This window comes from Homo sapiens, chromosome 17 (genome assembly GCF_000001405.40).
Source record: "Homo sapiens chromosome 17, GRCh38.p14 Primary Assembly".
Lineage (NCBI taxonomy): Eukaryota > Metazoa > Chordata > Mammalia > Primates > Hominidae > Homo > Homo sapiens.
In genome coordinates this window covers 64,941,893-64,963,876 of record NC_000017.11, presented here as the reverse complement: position 1 = coordinate 64,963,876, position 21,984 = coordinate 64,941,893, and the positions used below count along the sequence as shown (strand labels likewise).

At 38.9% G+C, this 21,984-nt stretch overlaps 1 long non-coding RNA gene and 1 pseudogene across 1 annotated transcript; one reads left to right on the top strand and one right to left on the bottom strand.

The window, feature by feature from the left end:
- On the top strand, positions 1,113 to 20,522 carry LOC107985000 (uncharacterized). The gene is made up of 3 exons (XR_001752973.3): positions 1,113 to 6,685; positions 6,921 to 6,923; positions 20,512 to 20,522. It is a non-coding gene; the product is annotated as an uncharacterized LOC107985000 (long non-coding RNA).
- SLC16A6P1 (SLC16A6 pseudogene 1) lies at positions 6,653 to 10,202 on the bottom strand (annotated as a pseudogene).

Here is a 21,984-nt window from a genome sequence, read left to right as displayed (position 1 = left end):
AACAGATGCTTTATTTTATTTTTATTTTTAATTTTTTTTGAGACAGAGTTTTGCTCTGTCATCCAGGCTAGAGTGCAGTGGTGTGATCTTGGCTCACTATATCCTCTGCCTCCTGGGCTCAAGTGGTCCTCCCGCCTCAGCTTCCCAAGTAGCTGGGAGTACAGGCACGTGCCACCGCACCTGGCTAATTTTTGTACTTTTTGTAGAGAGGAGTTTTACCATGTTGACCAGGCTGGTCTCAAACTCCTGGGCTCAAGCAGTCTGCCCACCTTAGCCTCCCAAAGTGGATGCTGTTATAACCTAATGTCAAAGTAAACAAATAGAAACAAGTACCATTTTGAATAGGATAGACAGGAATGCCTCCCTAGGGAGGTAGCATTTGGAAGTGATCAAATTGAAGGGTCACACTGCATATACATCTCAGGCAAGGGAGTACCAAGCAAAGGAAACCACAAATGCCAAAGCCTGAAGCTTGCAACAAGAAGAACAATTCCAGAAACAATAAGAGAGGCTGGGTGTCGTGGCTCACACCTGTAATCTCAGCACTTCGGGAGACCGAGGCAGGCGGATCACCAGTTCAGGAGATTGAGACCATCATGGCTAACATGGCAAAACCCCATCTCTACTAAAAATACAAAAAAAAAAAAAAAAATTAGCCAGGCATGGTGGTGGGCACCTGTAATCTCAGCTATACTCGGGAGGCTGAGGCAGGAGAATCACTTGAACCCAGAGGTAGAAGTTGCAGTGAGCCAAGATTGTGCCTTTGCACTCCAGCCTGGGCAACAAGAGTGAAACTCCATCTCAAAAAAAAAAAAAAAGTGGGGGGGCTGGGCGTGGTGGCTCACGCCTGTAATCCCAACACTTTGGGAGGCCAAGGCGGGCGGATCATGAGGTCAGGAGATAGAAACCATCCTGGCTAACATAGTGAAACCCCGTCTCTATTAAAAATACAAAAAATTAGCCGGGCGTGGTGGCATGTGCCTGTAGTCCCAGCTACTTGGGAGGCTGAGGCAGGAGAATTGCTTGAACTTGGGAGGCAGAGGTTGCAGTGAGCCGAGATCATGCCACTGCACTCCAGCCTGGGCAACAGAGCGAGACTCTATCTCAAAAAAAAAAAAAAAAAAGCCAGTGGGGCTAGTATAACAGGAGCAGAGGGAAAAGAAATACCATCGGGCAGTTCACGCAGGGCTCATTGCCAAGGATTTATGTCAGACTTGTGCTGTAAGAAGATTACTCTGGCTACTGTATGGAAAATTAAGATGGGGTGGCATGTTGCAAGAGTGGAAGCAGGCAGGCCAGCTAGAAGACTACTGTAATAATCCAGCTAAGATGATATTGGCTTGGATCAAGGGTCCTGATGCAGTTGGCAGAAGCAGTCAGCTCCTGGATATATTTAGAAAGGAGAGCCGATTGGATGTGTGGAGGAGTGGGTTTGAGGAGGAAGATCCAGAGTTCTGCTGAGGACATTTTAAGTTGAAGATGCTTAGTTTATATCCATGCCCTGCCATGCAGGCAGATGTAAATCAGGAGCTCAGGGACAAAGTTGAGACTAAGAATGGGAGGTGTCGATGCAGAGAAGGTACTTAAAGTTTTGGTTGAATTCCAGGGTGTATAAGTTGTTAGGGAAGTTAGCGTGCTTGTTCTTGAGTTGCTGGAAAGGCATATAAATGACACAAATACATGGCCACAATATGTATTTTCTCAATAATATTTGGGGAAATGTTCTGGGCATCAGGTTTCCCGTCTAACTTTCCCTGTAGGAAACGGATAGTCATTGAAGTAATTTTGATTTGGGTGAGTTGTTACACGGATAGCGAAGTTGTAAGTTCTCTTGCCACTTTTCTTGTTCTGCACCTTTCGAGAGTCATTATGAGAACTGAACACTAGGGGGACCCAGTTTCCTTACTTATGCAACGGCGGCTGGCCCAGCTGTACGCTACGATCGCCCTCACTTAGGACACATGCAATATAAACACAAATCTGAAAACAAGGGCAGCTTCTCTTTTCTCAATGCAATGTATATTTATAGCAGTGATCATTTTTGCATGTAACATGTCTGAATTCCTTAAATAGGTCATTTTAAGTAATGTGCATAACCATTACAATTTTTCTTTTTTGAGACAGGTTCTCACTCTTTGCCAAGGCTGTGTGCAGTGGTGCCATCTGGACTCATTGCAACCTCTGCCCCCTGGGCTCAAGTGATCTTCCCACCTCAGCCTCTCGAGTAGCTGGGACCACAGGCATGAGCCACCACACCTGGCTAATTTTGGTTTCACCATGTGGCCCAGGCTGGTCTTGAACTCCTGAGCTCAAGCAATTCACTCACCTTGGCTTCCTGAAGTGCTGGGATTATAGGGATGAGCCACCACACCTGGCCACCGTTTAAAGATTTAAAGGCAATGGTTTCTAAACTCTAGTTCCTTGTGAGCCCCATATTTGCAAACTTGTGAAAATAAGGATCATGATTTCTTATTTTTTATTATTATTATTATTTTTGAGATGGAGTCTCACTCTGTTGCCCAGGCTTGGGTGCAGTGGCGCGATCTTGACTCACTGCAACCTCCACCTCCCAGGTTCAAGTGATTCTTCTGCCTCACCCTCCCAAGTAGCTGGGATTACAGGCGTGCACCAACATGCCCGGCTAATTTTTGTATTTTTAGTAGAGACAGGATTTCACCATGTTGGCTGGGCTGGTCTCGAACTCCTGACCTCAAGTGATCCACCCACCTCGGCCTCTCAAAGTGCTGGGTGGGATTACAGGTGTGAGCCACCATGCCCAGCTGAAGGATCATGATGATTTCTAATTTACAATAGTTGAATTGGAGTATGGAAATCTAAATCTAATAAATACCACCTGGTGATTTGAATCTGTGCCACAAGAATGCTGACATAGAATCCATTTTCTATTTTATCACCAGGTATTAAGCAAAGGGAAAGGCAAATAAATGCTCAAAAGCTACATTACATGCTATTGGAGTATAAAATGTATAACTTTGTTAAAAGGTTTGGACACATTTTGTATTAGTTACGGATACATAGGTCTTAAAAGAGTACATGATCTTAATTCTTTTTTTGAGACGGAGTTTCGCTCTTGTTGCCCAGGCTGGAGTGCAATGGCGCAATCTCGGCTCACTGCAACCTCCGTCTCCCGGGTTCAAGCAATTCTCCTGCCTCAGCCTCCCGAGTAGCTGGGATTATAGGCATGTGCCACCACGCCCGCCTAATTTTGTATTTTTAGTAGAGACGGGGTTTTTCCATGTTGGTCAGGCTGGTATTGAACTCCCGACCTCAGGCGATCCACCCGCCTCGGCCTCCCAAAGAGCTGGAATTATAGGCGTGAGCCACTGCGCCCGGCCCAACTCATTTTTATAACTAGAATAATTTTAGTTTTGGGGAGAGAAAGTCTACATAAGGTTTATACTGAAACTTCTTGAAGTCAACAATCTTAAAGCAGAATCTTTTTAATCAGGAGAAATGAAAACATAATTAACAGCCTGGTGTGGTGGAGGTGGAGGTTGCAGTGAGCCAAGATCGCACCACTGCACTCCAGCCTGGACAACAAGAGTGAAACTCCATCTCAGAAAAAAAAAAAGGAAAAAAAAAGAAAACATAATTAACAAATACGTTAGCTATAATGCCAAGCACGGTGGCTCACACCTGTAATCACAGCACTTTGGAAGGCCATGGTGGGCAGATCACTTGAGGTCAGGAGTTCAAGACCAGCCTGCCCAACATGGCAAAATCCTGTCTCCACTAAAAATACAAAAATTAGCTGGGTGTGGTGGTGCATGCCTGTAATCCCAGCTACTTGGGAGGCTGAGGCAGGAGAATTGCTTGAACTCGGGAGGTGGAGGTTGCAGTGAGCCAAGATCGTGCCACTGCACTCCAGCCGGGGTGACAGAGCAAGACTCTGTCTCAAAACAACAACAACGAAAAAGTGTTAGCTGCTTGATCTTTCCTATTTTGGGGCAGTTATGATCTAAGAATTACTTTGACCACAATGAATCCTTTCCCATGAGTCAGGACTGTTAGTTTTCAGAGCTTTGCTTCTGGTGGTACTGATCTGTGCCAGTGTTACAGATATGTGGTGAAGGAGCTAGAATTTTTTTTTTTTCAGCTTGAGAGCTAATTGTGTGTGTGTGTGTGTGTGTGTGTGTTTAACATTTTTATGTGATTGAAAAAATATATATTTCCTGTATGAAAATCTTGTGAAATTCACATTTCAGTATCCATAAATAAAATTCCATTGAAACATTGCCACATTCATTCATTTATATATTGTCTGTGGCTGCTTTTGACCCTCAATGGCAGAGTTGACTAGACAGAGGCCTCATGGCCTGCAAAGCTTTAAATATTTACTATCTGGACCTTTACAGAAAAAGTTTGCCAAACCCTGGCATGTAGAGTCTGTGCTGTTTACTTACAGGTTGCAACAGTTCTTGGAACGATTCTGTAACTGGTTGTAGTCTTTAACTATTTGCCGTTATGACTTTTGATAGGCTTACTCTGGCTACCATGATATCATTTCATTCATGTATTTTTCATTAATAATTAAATACCATCGCTGCTTTCATTCTTAATTCTTAGATGAAAACATGCTTCTTCATTTGATTATATTGTTTAATTTTTATTTCGCTCTCCTGTTATTCATTACTTAATATTTCCCTTGAATTATTTAGTCTTTTTCTAAGGTGCTGTAATTTGCATGAAAAACTCAACATAAAATAAAATTGTCCTGCTTTCAATGACCAGAAAAAATGATTTAAAAGTTCAGGCCACACACGATGGCTCACACCTGTAATCCGAGCACTTTGAGAGGCCGAGGCAGGTGGATCACCTGAGGTCAGGAGTTTGAGGCCAGCCTGGCCAACATGGTGAAACCCCATCTCTACTAAAAATACACAAAATTAGCCAGGCGTGGTGGCGGGCACCTGTAATCCCAGCTACTCGGGAGGCTCAGGCAGGAGAATCACTTGAACCTGGGAGGCTGCAGTGAGCTGAGATTGTGCCATTGCACTCCAGTCTGGGCAACAAGAGTGAAACTCCATCTCAAAAAAAAATACTAGTAAATATAAATAAATAAAAAGTTCAGTAGACACTTCTTGGGAAACTTTATGTGTCTCTAGTAGAGTTAAAAGGTTTTGCAGAAGATAAACGTTAAAAAATTATTTATTTGGAGTGAATCTTTGGTGAGTTTTTATAACTTTAATTGCATCAAATACTGAATGCTGTGAGAGTCAATAAAAAAATCTTATAACAGAAGAAAATCAGTATCTTTAAATAAAAAAGCCATAAATGTATTGCAAATCTAGAAGTACCAGAATGTCACTAATACAGAACAAATCAGCAATCTTGTTTTTATTTTCTTCCAAACATTTAAAACCTTGATTATTGACATACTGAAATTGGCATGCATTCTCTTTTCATGCAGGTAACAGAATAGACATGGAGCAGATCCCTCTGAAATCAGTTATAAATATTAAATTGTATTGAACATTCATAGTAAAAATACGTTGTAAAGTGCTGAAGTCATGTAAGTCTGCAAAACTGCCACAAGCTCAAAGTTCTTCTCAAGCAGTGGCAGAGATTTGCTATATCCACCTTGTTTTAGATTATGCCTGTTTTTGACAGACACTGTGTCATTTCCTCCCCCACCCTCCCCAAAGTTTTATAGATTGTCCTATTTCTATGGCTGGTAAGATGCTCTACAAAATGTAGCAGGTGGTGATGAACTATGCCACTTTCATTTCAGTGCAGAGAAATATTCAAGCTTGTGTGTACCTGTAACCAAACTAGGCTTGTTATGTTTTTCCCCCGAGTTGTCATAAATTAACATTAATGATGAGTAAAGATGGAGCAGCGAGCATTGACCGTCACCTGCAGGGTGAGATTGCAGTAAAATAGGTGAGTAAAAAGTCCACCTATTATCCTGACACTTGTCCTCTTTACAGAAAACTGTAACGTGAGCAATACTATACATGTAGTGTGACTCCAAAAATAAAAAATAAAACAAACAACAACAACAACAACAAAAAAACAATGACCAGTTACCCGATACCTCTGGCAACTTAGAACAATCAAGTTGTGAGTTATAGAAGATGTAAATTGCAACTTGTAACTCGCTATAACATAAATGTCTCTGTTACCCCCATGTGAAATACAGAAATGCTTCAACAATTAGATGGTTTTTTCTTTAAATCAGAAATGCTTTAACAGTTCAATGAAATATAATTCTGATCAAAGAAGTTCCTCAAGTATTCTTAGATGATAAAACAAATTATTTTTGAAAGCTAAGGTGATTTGCTATCCGTTATTTTTTCCCCTTTAAATAGCACATGTTGCCCTTAATCAAATGGAAGAATCATGACAACTTGGCCTTTTATGAAAGTATTTTTTACAAGATAAGACGTATTCTGTGAGGCATTTAAAGGACTGCAGAAAGGAGGTAAAAATGCTGCTTATGTCTCAGATTTTATTTCTTTTGATTAATCATCCTAGAATAACTTAATAATAAATAGCGGTTTAAATTAAAGACACTACAGTCACATATTTCTGTATAACTAAAAGCAACAGGAAACACATTTTTAAATGCCATTTTGTATATTCTGTACTGAAACACTTCTGGTAAGGACTGGCCATAAAAAGAAGTGGTAATCTTCACATTTATGAAGTTCAAGTTATATATGTACTTAAAATTTGCTTATTAGTAAAATGTTTGGTCTTAAACTATACTTCATTTCCAGCAAGCAGAAGCCATAATTTGTTAATGGGAACCTCAGTATTTTACAAAGGGTTTAACAAAAACCATTTATTCATATTTCTGAAAATTAGGAATTTTTTAAATGATTGAAGTCTTTTTTTTTTTTTTTGACTGGCCAATTTCATTTCAATGACCTGGGTTGGATGTTGTTTTATTCAAGATAGTAGTTTATTCTGACAAGACCATACGAAGAAAGAAAAGAAAGAAAGAAAATCATTTATCCCATGTGAAAGCTTTTAAAACCACTTTGCCAGTTCGTGTCACTATTTTAATATTGGAATGTGAACCAAAGAGTCTTTCTACATATCTTTTGTATTGCTACTGAATACAGCCAGATTTATATATGGAAGAGTGCTTGGTTGTTTTTTGTTTTGGCTTTAAAAACAAGCAAAAAGGAAAACTTAAAACAAAAGCGATGTTGGTAGTGCTCTTCACATACACATTCCCTTTAAAATGTAGTTTTGAAAGTGGAGTAGAGGGGTTAGCTCCTCTACCTCCTTGTGTCTCCGTTGGGCCCACCCCATCCCTCTCCAGCCAACACAGTGGCTGTTGTTGTAAGAAAGTGTGTCATACCGGCTCCATTTGCACGTGAACTCTGTGCTCATTTTTTGCAAGATCCATTTCCAGAAAGTCTTCAGGTATGTCCTGTAAAGTCTTCCCACGATGGCTCACTACCTTTGTTTCACCTGAGTGATGATGCTGGCACAGTCCCATCTTACACGGTCTCACCAGGGCGAGGCACACAGCAGCCAGGGCCATGCCAGCTGCGCAGGAGTAGAAGGCCCTGCTGTAGATCTTACTTTGGTCCACCAACAAACCTGGAAGAGAGCATGGCGTCCGTTAACAGCATCCTTCCTAGACATAAGCCCCTCACCCAGGCGACCATCCCATTCAGAAGCCTCTCAGTTTCATTGCCTTCCTTGTTTTCTTTTGTGTTTCTAAAGAAAAATGGGTGTTAAGGGCAGAAATCTTTACTAGACTGGAGAGGAGAAAGAGACAAACACCCAATATACTTGTTCTTCTTGGGCTAAGCCTGTCCTAGCAGAGGACCTAAAACCTGGGACATTTCGATGCATACTTCTTTGAAAAGGTAATATTCTTCGGTAGGAAGGAACTGTATTATTTTCACTTGAGTTCACTTTAGGTGTTTGTTTGTTTGTTTGTTTGTTTTGAGACTGAGTTTTATTCTTGTCGCCCCAGCTGGAGTGCGATGGCACGATCTTGGGTCACTGCAACCTCCGCCTCCCAGGTTCAAGCGATTCTCCCAGCTCAGCCTCCCGAATAGCTGGGATTACAGGCGCCTGCCACCATGCCCGGCTACTTTTCGTATTTTTAGTAGAGACGGGGTTTTGCCATGTTGACCAGGCTGGTCTGGAACTCCTGACCTCAAATGATCTGCCCGCCTCATCCTCCCAAAGTGTTGGGATTAGAGGCATTAGCCACTGCGCCTGGCCACTGTAGGTATCTTTTGACAGGGGGTACAATTTCTAATCACAACACTTTAAAGACCCATTTGGGATCTAAGCTATGAAACATACCTATGTCCCTCTTACAAGGAAACATTCTATACAAATCAATTAGGTATTTACAGAGTGCTGCTTTCTATTCCCAAATACCTTTCCTAAGAAGGGAAGATGACTTACAGAAGTCCGATATTTCTGTCATTCCAAAAGTCAGGTGGGCTCTGAAGGTGATAAATCCATGCGTTCCTGTCTAGCATGAGAGAAGGCAAGGTGACAGAAAAAGCCTGGGTCGACCGGGCACGGTGGCTCACACCTATAATCCCAGTACTTTGGGAAGCCGTGGCGGGCGGATCATGAGGTCAAGAAATCAAGACCATCCTGGCCAACATGGTGAAACCCCGTCTCTACTAAAAATACAAAACTTAGCCGGGCGTGGTGGTGGGCGCCTGTAGTCCCAGCTACTTGGAAGGCTGAGGCAGGAGAATGGCGTGAACCCGGGAGGAGGAGGTTGCAGTGAGCCGAGATCGGGCCACTGCACTCCAGTCTGGTGACAAAGCGAATCTCCGTCTCAAAAAAAAAAAAAAAAAAAAAGCCTGGGTCAGTTCTGGACTGCAGACACAGCTTCCAGTCCTGATTCAACCACTAATTTACCATGTGACCTTTGGTTTCAATTCTTTGGCCTTCAGTTTCCTTATTTATTTATTTATTTATTTATTTATTTATTTATTTTTGAGACAGAGTCTCGCTTTGTCGCCCAGGCTGGAGTGCAGTGGCATGATCTCGGCTCACTGCAAGCTCCACCTCCTGGGTTCACGCCATTCTCCTGCCTCAGCCTCCCGAGTAGCTGGGTCTACAGGTGCCCACCACCACACATGCCAGCTAATTTTTTGTATTTTTAGCAGAGACGGGGTTTCACCGTATTAGTCAGGATGGTTTTGATCTCCGGAAGTGCTGGGATTACAGGCGTGAGCCACCGTGCCTGGCCAGTTTCCTCATATTTAAATCAAGAGGGCTGGCTCAAGTAATCTCTAATCCCTGGCAGCTCTAAAATTCAATGGAAATATAAAACAGCAGTAAGTTTTTTTATGGCTTGAACAGGAAGCTAGCACAATTCATAAGGGAAAGTAGACAAGCGCTTGTATTTTGTGTATTTAAATTACCCGCAAGGGGTGGTCCAGCCAGTCCTGCTATGCTCTGAATGAAGATGTAGACCCCAGCTGCAGAAGACATCTTCTCAATGCCCACAACATCATCCTCAGCAAGCAGTGGAATGTGGGTCCCTCCTGTTGTTCCAACCATAAACCCAAAAAATACGCTACATGACATTAGACCCCAGAATTCCCTAGCAAAAGTAAAGGCAAACAGAGACACAGTCAATAAGATGACGCAGATGAGCTCAATGTAAATCACACGAATGGGCTCTCTGTTGAGGACAAAACCAGCTCCGATCCTCCTGAAAACTTCTGCAATGGCCATTGTAGATAATAAAAAAGCAGCGCTGTCCTGGTCAATGCCCAGACTAATGCCCAGAGGAATGATGTACAAGGAAGGTGCAAAGAATCACAGTGTCGCAAGGAGACCAAATAATGCATAACAAATAAAACTTTTCTCTTTCAAAATGGAGAAGTCTAATAGCGGGGCTTTCTTTTTGCTTGGCCTGGGGCTGGTCTTCACCAGGACCTGCTGCAGGTCTGCCTTCGGCTCCAGTTCTGGGTTAGTGTGAGTAGGCACATTTTTAGGTGAGGTAGTTAGTTCTACTCCTGAGTCAATGGAGTCTATTGAGGTTCGTGTTTTCTCATTTTCAAGCATATACTGTGCTTCTTTCCGATTTTCCTGGATGACTATTTTTGGTGACGCTGGTCCTCTGATGATGATGGGTCTGAGCAGTGCTCCGAAGACGACAATGTTTAACTGTAGTAGGCCCACGAAGAGGAGGCTGTATCTCCAGCCAATGCGCTCCTTCAGAGCCATGAATTGCTTGAATAGGCAGGAGTGCAGAAGAAATAAAATATAAGGTCAATCATGGACTCAAGACGTGGGAGAAGCCATCAAGAAGAAATATGGATCCAGATTTCATTATAAGTTTTGTGGAAATTTATTGTACTCAGCATTATGAATGTACTCAATCTTTTTTTTTTTTTTTTTTTTTTTTTTTGAGATGGAGTCTTGCTCTGTTGCCGAGGCTGCAGTGCAGTGGTGTGATCTTGGCCCACGGCAACCTCCGCCTCCTGGTTTCAAGCAATTCTCCTGCCTCAGCCTACCAAGTAGCTGGGATTACAAGCGTGTGCCACCAAGCACAGCTGTTTTTTGTGTTTCAAGTAGAGACAGGGTTTCACCATGTTGGCCAGGCTGTTCTCCAAATCGTGACCTCAGGTGATCTGCCCACCTCGGCCTCCCAAAGGGCTGGCATTACAGGCATGAGCCACTGTGCCTGGCCAAAAATTTTGTTTTGAGATGATCTGCACACAGGTAAGAACGCTGTCTTTATTAGCATAATCTAAATCCACATTGAATGTAGCTCTCTTGAAAAAGGAGAGGACATAACAGGTGAACAACTGCAAATTACTAGATTATTCTGGAATGCATGTGTCAAGAAAGCCCTACCACTGCATATGTGCCCAGCTAGGAATTCAAACCTATTAGTAAGGTGGTCTGAATTCCCAAAGTGGGGGTTAAGGAGGACAGATCCTAAAAATGAGCTGGAGAAGAGACGTAAATAACCTGTCATTACGTATACACTTAAAGTCATCCATACTGTTGGCAAAAGTTAGCGTAGCAAGAATACCTGAGTGACGTCCCTCATCCACATTCATACTTAGACTGTTGTAGTCCACCTACCTGGTGCGAAAGCAATGTGTGTGTCTGTGTGTAAATGTTCTCCTCTTAGAAGCACGCCAGTCACATTGGATTAGGACGCACCCTACTGACCTTATTTAACCTTAATTGTGTACTTCTCTAAAGACGTTGTCTCCAAATATGGATACTGTAAGATACTGAGGGTTAGGACTTCAACATGTGAATTTGGTGGGGGTGGGTGGGCACAATTTAGCTCATAAAACTCACTAAGGTTTAATTAGGTAATTAGGGCATGGACTATTAAGCATTCTACTGTTAATTTAGTTTTTATGTTTGGAAAACATTTTGAAACATAATGATTTTTATTTATAATTTCATTATTTATATTTTCATTATGTTTAGGATTGCTTGGAGGTAAATGAAGAAAGAAGAGTTCCGCATTAGTGAGGCAGGGATGTCAGTATATAAGGAATTGGAAAGACATCAATGATAATGGCAAAAGCTGCTTATAAATTAAATTAAGAGCTTAATTAAACTGAGGAAAAAAGCATATTGCCAAATTACATGCAGTTGTTTTGTAACAGCATTTGTCCACTTGCTATGCCCTGAGATTTCCAAGGCACATTCCTCTACTAAGCGTATTATAAGATGATTAAATATGCATAGTACAAGTATGTTATGGAAGGCTATGTCACCTGATATAGTGGGACCACAATAGTATGTGTAAGTGAGATTTGGAAAATTTGATAGGCCAGCAAGGGCAAAGAAGTGTTGAATTTGCAAGTTTGTGCACATATTCTGAAAATCCAGGCAGCTGTTTCTCATTTTGAATTGTTCCTTTGGCTAGGGCATAAGGGTGAGACACAATGCACATTTGAATGTGTCACTTTGTAAATTACCACTGCAATATTATCAGTGTAAGTTGAAAAACTGGTACTTACATGTACTAATATTATCTACCATGAAAAAACAATTAAAATTTTAAAATATTATGTAAATTAAATAAAGTTCAAATACCACTAGCCAGAAAAAATATTTGGATATTATAGTCTGGGGTCAGAAGAGGAAAAACTTATGTAAAGTATCAAAATTAATTTTTATTTCAATTTAAATGCAGCATCATATAACATGGTTTCATAACTGAAATTATATTTGTCAGAATTTGACATTTTTATTAAAGAATTGAGGGAAAACTGATGATTATAATATTGACATGCAATGTAAATAAACCTTTTTTCATTGTTATAGGAATGAATTGCTCAGAAATAATTGGCCGATGTCAACCACATATCTGTTTCCGTGGAAAATGCAGCAACATTACTTCAAATAGTTTCATTTGTGAATGTGATGAACAATTTTCAGATAAAAAAATACATATATATACATATATATACCATTCGTCCTGGATTTTTTAACCAAGTACTATTATTTATAGTTGCATTAAAATAAATAGGGATGGGTTTGATAAATCACCACTTGGTGCTTTAAATTCTGCCATCATCTTTTCTAGGAGTGTGAACTATAGAGATATACATAAGCAGAAAATTATTTTTTAACATGAGGATAATATGGTAATGTAACCAGTGATAACCTACCTCTCTTTTTCAATGCTTTCCAGATGCAAATTGTATCGTATCAATTATTCGAGGGCAGCTTGTAGGACTTTGAAGACCCAAGCAGCCAAAAACTAGCTAATTCCTCCTTATTTCAGTTGGTATGAAGAGAAGGTTACTAATAATACTGCTCTTCCAGCCAAGGCTTCCTGGCTGCCAGTGAGCTTGGTCAGTAGGAACCACAGGAAATTATGAGTTATGTTTATGTTACTTAGGAGAATTGAGGCTACCAGTCTTGTCACAGGGTTTATAGATAATTGCCTTGCGTGCCACCATGCCTGGATAATTTTTGTATTTTTAATAGAGAGAGGGTTCCACCATGTTGGCCAGGCTGGTCTCAAACTCCTGACCTCAGGTGATCCGCCCGCCTCAGCCTCCAAAAGTGCTGGGATTACAGGCGTGAGCCACTGCACCCAGCTCCCCATTAAGTCTTATCACACAGCTTCTTCAAGTTTGGCTCCAATGGAGACAACTGATACTTCGGCAATATTCTATCTTCTACTCCATGAGCATAAACTAGTACTATCCTGAGAAAACTAGAATGATTGCCCTGTGAAGGTTCAGTAACTATAATAGGGGTACTTTTTGCATTATTTTGAGACCTACAGCCTGTGCCAAAAGTGTACAGGAAGCATCACATTTAAAAGATGTATAAAATATTTCTATATCTATCCATCTGATATGGCTTGACTGTGTCCCCACCCAAGTCTCACCTGGAATTCCCACATGTTGTGGGAGGGACCTGGTAGGAGGTAATTGAATCATGGGGGCAGGTCTTTCCTGTGCTATTCTCATGATAGTGAATAAGTCTCACGAGATCTGATGGTTTTAAAAAAAGGAGTTCCTCTGCACAAGCTCTCTGTCTTTGCCTGCTGCCATCCATGTAAGACGTGACTTGCTCCTCCTTCTAATACATCATCTATCTGGTTATTTCATACATATTTTCTAATATTTTATTATTGGTTTCTTCAAAACTCTTCAGAAATTAATATATGTATATTTTCCACAATGATCAACTGTGCATATTAATATATATTATTTTATATATGAATCTGGATTCATAATTGAGATTATGTTCTAATGAGTCATAGTAAAAGTACAGAAAATTAATATTTCGGCCGGGCGCGGTGGCTCATGCCCATAATGCCAGCACTTTGGGAGGCCGAGGCGGGCAGATCACGAGGTCAGGAGATTGAGACCATCCTGGCTAACACAGTGAAACCCCATCTCTACTAAAAATACAAAAAATTAGCCAGGTGTGGTGGCGGGCGCCGTAGTCCCAGCTACTCGGGAGGCTGAGGCAGGAGAATGGTGTGAATCTGGGAGGTGGAGCTTGCAGTGAGCCGAGATCGCCCCACTGCACTCCAGCCTGGGCGACAGAGCGAGACTCTGTCTCAAAAAAAAAAAAAAAAGAAAAAAAATTAATATTTCTAATGCCTTATCAACCGATGATTATTATAAAACTAGCCTTTATGTCAAATTCTCGTTGCTCCTGAATTTCATTCCAAACAGAATTTTGGAATTCATATCATTTGGAATACTATAGTTGTCATACCTAAAGCAGTTTAATAACCCACTTCTAATACAAATTTACTTTAAGACTGCAAATAATTATGGTGTAGAGTATGACAATCCTATTTCAAAACTAAAGAGCTCTTAGAAAAACAAATTCTTGATTTTTCAGATATCTCAAATATTGTGAAATAGAGTATATCTAAGAATAATTAGCCATGAGGTCAAACTTAATTTTCAAACATTATAAAAGTAAAATTAAGAATTAAAATCTAATCTAAAGCCACATGAAAATTTATTCTTCATTGTAATCCCAAATTTGAAAACGTTATATAAGATTTGTGCATCCATTAGAAAGTGATTCATTGTAATTGTATAAGATTTATTGCTAAATTTTAAAGGTGTATTTTTGATCAATGCAAGGAAATGTTAAAATTACTATGCTATACATTATTAGTTCATGACACATTTTCAAATATGAATGTGATGTAGAAACAGGTGATTGTCAGAAAATAAACTCATTGTTTTTAGTTTAAGACTAAATTAAAGCAAAAACAAAAACAAATTTAGTTTCAAGATAGGAAAGTTTATTTGTAAGGATGCTGGGATGTTTGAACCCAAGATGAGTGATGTTAAAAAGGTTTTGCAATGGCATTCAATGAATAAAAAATGTTTACAGTTCAGTAAACAACCAACCCAGAGTAAACTTATATGAACTCCTACCTATTCAATGCCTTAAAAAGTATTTACATTATTAAATGTGTTAAACATTTGCCATAAATCATCATTCCAAATTTCATAAATACTAAGCCTTAACGTTGACTATACATGTGTGCTTATCAGCTCATGTAACTCACATTTTTTTTTTTTTTTTTTTTTTTTTTGAGACGGAGTCTCGTTCTGTCGCCCAGGCGGGACTGCTGTGGCGCGATCTCCGCTCACTGCAAGCTCCGCCTTCCGGGTTCACGCCATTCTCCTGCCTCAGCCTCCCGAGTAGCTGGGACTACAGGCGCCCGCCGCTGCGCCCGGCTAATTTTTTGTATTTTTAGTAGAGACGGGGTTTCACCGTGGTCTCGATCTCCTGACCTCGTGATCCGCCCGCCTCGGCCTCCCAAAGTGCTGGGATTACAGGAGTGAGCCACCGCGCCCGGCCAACTCACATTATTTTTTAAAATTCCACTTATGAGAGTGAGGGCTAGTTCAATTCTCTACATGGCAGGGGGTTAGAGATAGAGTTAAACTGACAATCACCTGTTTCTACGTCACATTCATATTTGAAAATGTGTCATGAACTAATAATGTATAGCATAGTAATTTTACAGTTCAGTAACTTCAGTTACCATTTTGGACAGATAACAAGAGATCCAATCTGACTAGCAGAGAATAGTGTAAGACATTTAAAATAGTTAGCAGTTTAAATCAGAGGTAGACAGATTATTTTCCAATGTAAAGTACATATTTCTCCATTTGCATAACACTCACCAGTGGGTAGAATTTATGAAGAATAGAATTTGGTTCATGGAAAGAAAAGCAGGCAGGAGCTAAATCAGATATAACTTTCTTCATGTTTAATAATTGAACTTTAATCCTATTTTGAGACTCAATTCTGATAGAAGTTGGAAAATTAATCTGTCAAACTGTGTATGTCCTAGATAGAAGTCACTTGTCAGGTATGCATATAGTACAAATAATTTTTTTTCTGTCTCTGGCTCTTTATTTTTTTGATATTTATTTATTTATTTATTTAGAGACAGAGTCTTACTCTGTCGCCAGGCTGGAGTGCAGTGGCACGATCTCGGCTTACTGTGACCTCCACCTCCTGGGTTCAAGCAATTCTCCTACCTCAGCCTCCCGAGTAGCTGGGACTACAGGCACGCGCCACCACGCCCAGCTAATTTTTTTTTCTTGTCTTTTTAGTAGAGACGGGGTTTCGTCATGTTGGCCAGGATGGTCTTGGTCTCCTGACCTCATGATCTGCCCGCCTCAGCCTCCCAAAGTGCTGGGATTACAGGTGTGAGCCACTGTGCCCGGCCACCTTTTTATTTTTTTTTCATGTATTTTGATAAGCAAAAGTTTTCAATGTTAATAAAATCAATTTATCGTTTTAAAACACATTTTGTAGGTGTTGTGCCTTCTTTAGGAAACATTTGCATTTTCCAAAGTCACAAGTAATTTCTTCAATGTGTTCTTCTAGAATACATACAGTTATTTAGCCCTCTGTTAAGGTTTATTATCCACTCAGTTAATTTTTGCATTTCATGGAAGGTTGGTTTATTTTTTTTAATATATGGAAATACAGTTCAGCACCATGTGGCAACTCTTTCTTTTACCCATAGATTTGCTTGGCATCTTATCAAAAATAAATTAAACACATATGTGTGTATGTCTAGTTCTGTAATCTCTATTCTATGCTATTGGTCTGTTTTTCTTTCCTTGGCCAATACCAGTGTCTCTTGATAGTGTATATTTATATTAAAACTTGAGGTTCTATGAAACAAATCCTCCAGTTTCTTAGTCTTTATCAAAATTGTTCTGACTATTCTAGATCCTTTGCATATACATATAAATCTTAGAATTCACCTGTCAATTTATTTTAAAAATTCTACCAGAATTTTAATTCAGCCTCTTTTGATATTTGCCAAATATTTGCCAAGGAGTTATTTGCCAAAATATCTCTATCCCTTCCTTCTACAGTTACACATATGGTAGACTCAGAATTCTCCTACTGGTCACTGAGGCTCTGTTCATTTTAGTTCAACCATTTGTGGTCCTCTCACTATTCTTCAGATTAGATAATTTCTTTGGATAAGTTTTTGAGTTTACTCATGCATTCTATTTCTGCCTGGTTTTGTTCGTTCTTAAAGGACTTTGTGCAGATTTCTGTGTGTTTTTATACAGAACTTTTGTAGTTTTCAGTGAGAGAGTTCATCTGAAAAAAAGCTACACCACCGACACAGAACAGCAAATGTCAATGTGGCTTTCTCTCTCTTTCTGTTTAATTTTCAGAACTTTTCTGTGTTTCCAGTGAAACAAGCAACTCTTCAGTGATTCTAAACAGGGCCCTTTCAAGTAGAAACAGTAATTTGGGACATTTAACTAAAATCAATTATGTATAATTAGGCATAAAGATCAATTTCTTGTAAAGTGGTCCTGACTTCACTATAATTTGGTAATTGTTTAAAAATGAAATTCACTAATATAAATGAGGAAACCAGTAAATGGAACACTGTCAAGAGGATGAATTTAAGGGGAAAGAGAATTGAGTAGCATTTTTCATGTGTTTTTCTTAAGATGAAATGAACCAATTAATGTAAAATACTTGGTAAGCATTTAATTAATTTTAGCTTTGGGTACTTTTGCTATTGTTTGGCATAACAACTTCTCATTTAATTTTATTTCCACCATTTTGTGAATACAGTCAAATCCGGTATCCTTTTTATGGCATTCAGGTGTTTATGTAATTGATGTCTATCTACTTTTATAAGCATTTTTCAATATTTTCTTAACCAATCATTTGCTCTAATCAACTAGTGTTAGTGAGTGTATTATGAACAGGCCATATACATTCATATTTTCTCTGCCATCACTCATATATTATATCTTCTCTAGAATAAAGTCTCTCTTCTTTTCCTTCACTTCTGCAAAAATCCCCTTCCTTTACTTCTCCTACTGATTTGCAAAGTTCTTGACAGCAAAGCCTGTGATTGATTCAAATTTACAGCCCTATTTTACAGCATATATAAGGTATTGAATAAATGTTTGATAATGAGAAGAGTACAAGATGTGGGGATGTTCTTAATCTTAAAAGAAGTTCAAAGTATTATCATTCTCTTCTGACAGACATATTTGAAAATAAGTGCTACACAATTTTTTAGTCTGAAATCACAGAGTTATATTTGAGTATTGTACACTCTGGTTTTCTTTTTCTTTTTTTTTTTTTTTTGAGACAGAGTCTCACTCTGTTGCCCATGCTGGAGTGCAGTGGCACGATCTTGACTCACTGCAAACTTCGCCTCCTGGGTTCAAGTGATTCTCCTGCTTCAGCCTCCAGAGTAGCTGGGACTACAGGCGCATGCCACCATGCCCAGCTAATGTTTTGTATTTTTAGTAGAGATGGGGTTTCACCATGTTAGCCAGGATGGTCTTGAACTCCTGACCTCATGATCCACCGGCCTCGGCCTCCTAAAGTGCTGGGATTACAGGCATGAGCCACCGTGTCTGACTGAGTATTGTACACTCTTATTGCCATGTATAGAAAGAAAGAATCACAGCTTTCTCTCCATGTTTTATTAACACACAGAAAAATACTTTGAAAAATATACCATTTCTCAAAAATGAAATGTATGATTTGCTACAAATGGCCATATGGAAAATATGATACCTGCTTATTTTTGACTCAGGGTGCATTCAATTTTTATACTAACTGAAAATTACATGATTGCGTTTTGTTTTAAAAGTGAAAAAAAGTAATAACTGCTTTTAGCCTTGTAATATTGAATGCGTCAATTGGCTCCCCTTGTAGAATGTTGAATGGCTATCACTGGTGACAGATGTTCTGTACATCGCAGTAATACTGCTTATATAATTGTGATAATTTTCCGCTTCTTATTTGTCATTTTTAGTGATTTAAAAATCCCTTGATGACTCCCTGAAAAATGACTGATGTTTTTCCTATATTAAGTAATTTCTGCTGGTAAAGTGTAAGTCTTTTAATAATTTCTTGAATTCTGTTCAAGTCTGCATATTTTCATTCATTGTTCAACTAAACAGGTGTGACAATTTATAGAATTCCATGCAGAAACATCTCTCTAATTACTCCATCTTGGGACTTAGAAATGTGTTTTATGGGGAAATGCCATAAGCTTATTTTTTAGATACAGGAACATTTCTGAACATAAGGCTTCAACTTTAGTACAACTTTAGTATTTAGTACAAAAACTTGAAACTTGAAAATCTAGAAAGTTAAATTTACAAGGCATTTTACCTTTTCTCTGCGGGTAACCTTATTATTGTGTCTTGTCTGTGATACTCAGTGATATTACAGTTTCAGAAGCTGGCTATAAAAGCATAATACCATAATTCAGGTGTCATCACCCTTTCAATAGATATCATACTTGATTTCCTAGAATGCTGATTTGATTACTGGGATTAAAAATTCTAAATTTTTACAACCTACTTTATCATGTCCAGGCTTACCTTAGTAACCCAATCATATTCATATTGTATAGGTTTAAAAGCAATTTTAGAAATGGCTTATAATAAATGAACATTTCCTAATTCAAGATGAAGATTTGGATATGATTAATACATTTTGAACTCAAATTATACCACAGTTCAGGGGAATTTTCCATTAAGCTTAAAGGCAAATTTAAAAATAATCTGAGATAGTGAATTAAATTAAGATGTACATATAAACATCTTCTTATTTTATTATTATTTTTTAGACAGAGTCTTGCCCTGTCACCAGGCTGGAGTGCAGTGGCACAAACTCAGCACACTGCAACCTCGACCTCCCGGGTTCAAGCGATTCTCCTGCCTCAGCCTCCTGAGTAGCTGGGACAACAGGTGCGCTACCATGCCCAGCTAATTTGTATTTTTAGTAGAGACGGGGTTTCACCATGTTGGCCAGGATGGTCTTGATCTCTTGACCTCGTGATCTGCCTGCCTTGGCCTCCCTAAGTGCTGGGATTACAGGCGTGAGCCACTGCACCCGGCCATAAACATCTTAATGAGCAATCAATTTTGTAAACTTGGGGGAAAATGTAATTTATTTTTCTGTCCTTTGTGCATTAGATTGTATTCGGTTGGTATTTGTTAGTCTATCTATGGTAGATCAGCTCTGATGGCAGGGTATACATGAAGTTAGACCTTTCAAGGAACATCTTTAACGGAGTTTATGCTGTTTGATAAAACAAATGTCATGTATCATGGCAGGTGAACCCACCATTTGGTGTTTAGGATCCAAGTTTCACTTCAGGAGCAGGGTCACAAAAAACTGAAGCTTCTCTAATTCAATCATGCCTGTTTGTTGGCAAGTTACTTTTTTTAAATAAGAGAGTAATCCTCATATCTTCTGACAAAATTTTACTTAACTAATTGCTCTTAAGAGCTGTTACACTTGTATAATAAAGAATCTCATTGATATAGTGAGAAATACAGAGTGAACATTTTTAGCTTACTGAAATCATGTAATCGGTTCTATAATATTCCTTAATTATTTATTATTTTCTGAGTCTAAGATTTTTAAAATGGAATAAATTAAATTACTCCATGAAGAGAAAGCTGGGAATAGTGCTTGTGTGTGTGTTTGTGTGTGTGTGTGTGTGTGTGTGTGTGTGTCAGGGGGTAAAAAAATTTACAAAATGAGTATATACTTAAGGTAAACAACATATGTCAGATGATTTGTATTTCAGTGATTTTAAAACAGTTATTGACCAATGGTTTTCTGATTAAATCTCAGACGTTCATTTTAAAATAGTGCCTTCTCATCCTTTTCAGCATTTCTTCATAGAAAAGTAATTATCTGGCTACTTATCATTAACTAAATATAAAATTATTTTCAAATAAATATCCTTGACCACACAGAATTTTGTTAGTGTAGCATTATATGTAAATTTAGCTCTATAATTTTGAATTTTCAGTTTATTTTAAAATTTTGAGATATTATTAATAAACTCGTTCTTCCACTGAGTATATGTAAAGACCAATGGCAGAAAGATTCAATATAACTATTATTGAATAAATGAAAAGCAGTAGTTCTTTTATCTCATCTAATATAGTTTGTTTTTATGACCAAAAACCAAGAACTACTCGTATATTTTTAGTGTTTTGAACTCTGCACAATATTTTCATGCAAAGATGGCATTCAATGATTTTAACTATGAGAAAAGAAATACAATAACAATTAAGTGCTATATATATTTCAGACTTTTCTCTTAGGTAGACAGTTGGACTAGGAGATGGTTACTTTTCCCAAAATAGACACTGTGATTTTCTTAGTAAATTTATTTTGAATGCTGATAAAACACTTCTGTCTGAAAAAATCTGACTTTTCTTTTTTTTCTTTTTTTTTTTTTTTGAGACGGAGTCTCACTCTGTCGCCAGGCTGGAGTGCAGTGGCACAATCTCAGCTCACTGCAGCCTCTGCCTCCCGGGTTAAAGTGATTTTCCTGCGTCAGCCTCCGGAGTAGCTGGGACTACAGGCACCGCCACCACGCCCAGCTAATTTTTGTATTTTTAGTAGAGACAGGGTTTCACCATGTTGGCCAGGATGGTCTTGATCTCTTGAACTCGTGAAAAAAATCTGAATTTTATCAATAGCTGAAACTCTGGGAGTTTAGTCTATATTTCAAGCACATTTTTTCTCTATGCCTTTGATCTATATTCTTCTTATCCTCAGCCAAAATGCAAATCTCTCTGTTTTTGACATTCTCAGGAGCTCTCATTTGTTTCTTAACTTTTCCTCCTCTGCTGTTCACTTCCAGTTCTTTCAGCACTTTTAATCCTTACTGCTCTTACATCTTCACTACTCAAAGTTTTTACTGGTCATCTATTTCTTTGTAATAAACTAACCGTAAATTAAGTGGCTTAAAACAATGACAACGTTTATTTTCATAAAGCAGCAATTTTATTTTGATTTTGCTCTGATCATGGTCATTGGGGGGGTATTGCAAAGACTTGTTGCTAGAATTGTCTAAAGATTGCTTACTCACAAATCTGGAAGTTGATGCCAGCCATTGGCTTAGATGTTAGCTGATGCTATCTGTTGGAAGACTTACATGCTGACTTTCTGCATGGCATTGGCTTCCTTATACCTGGTACTAAATTCCACAACAAGCTT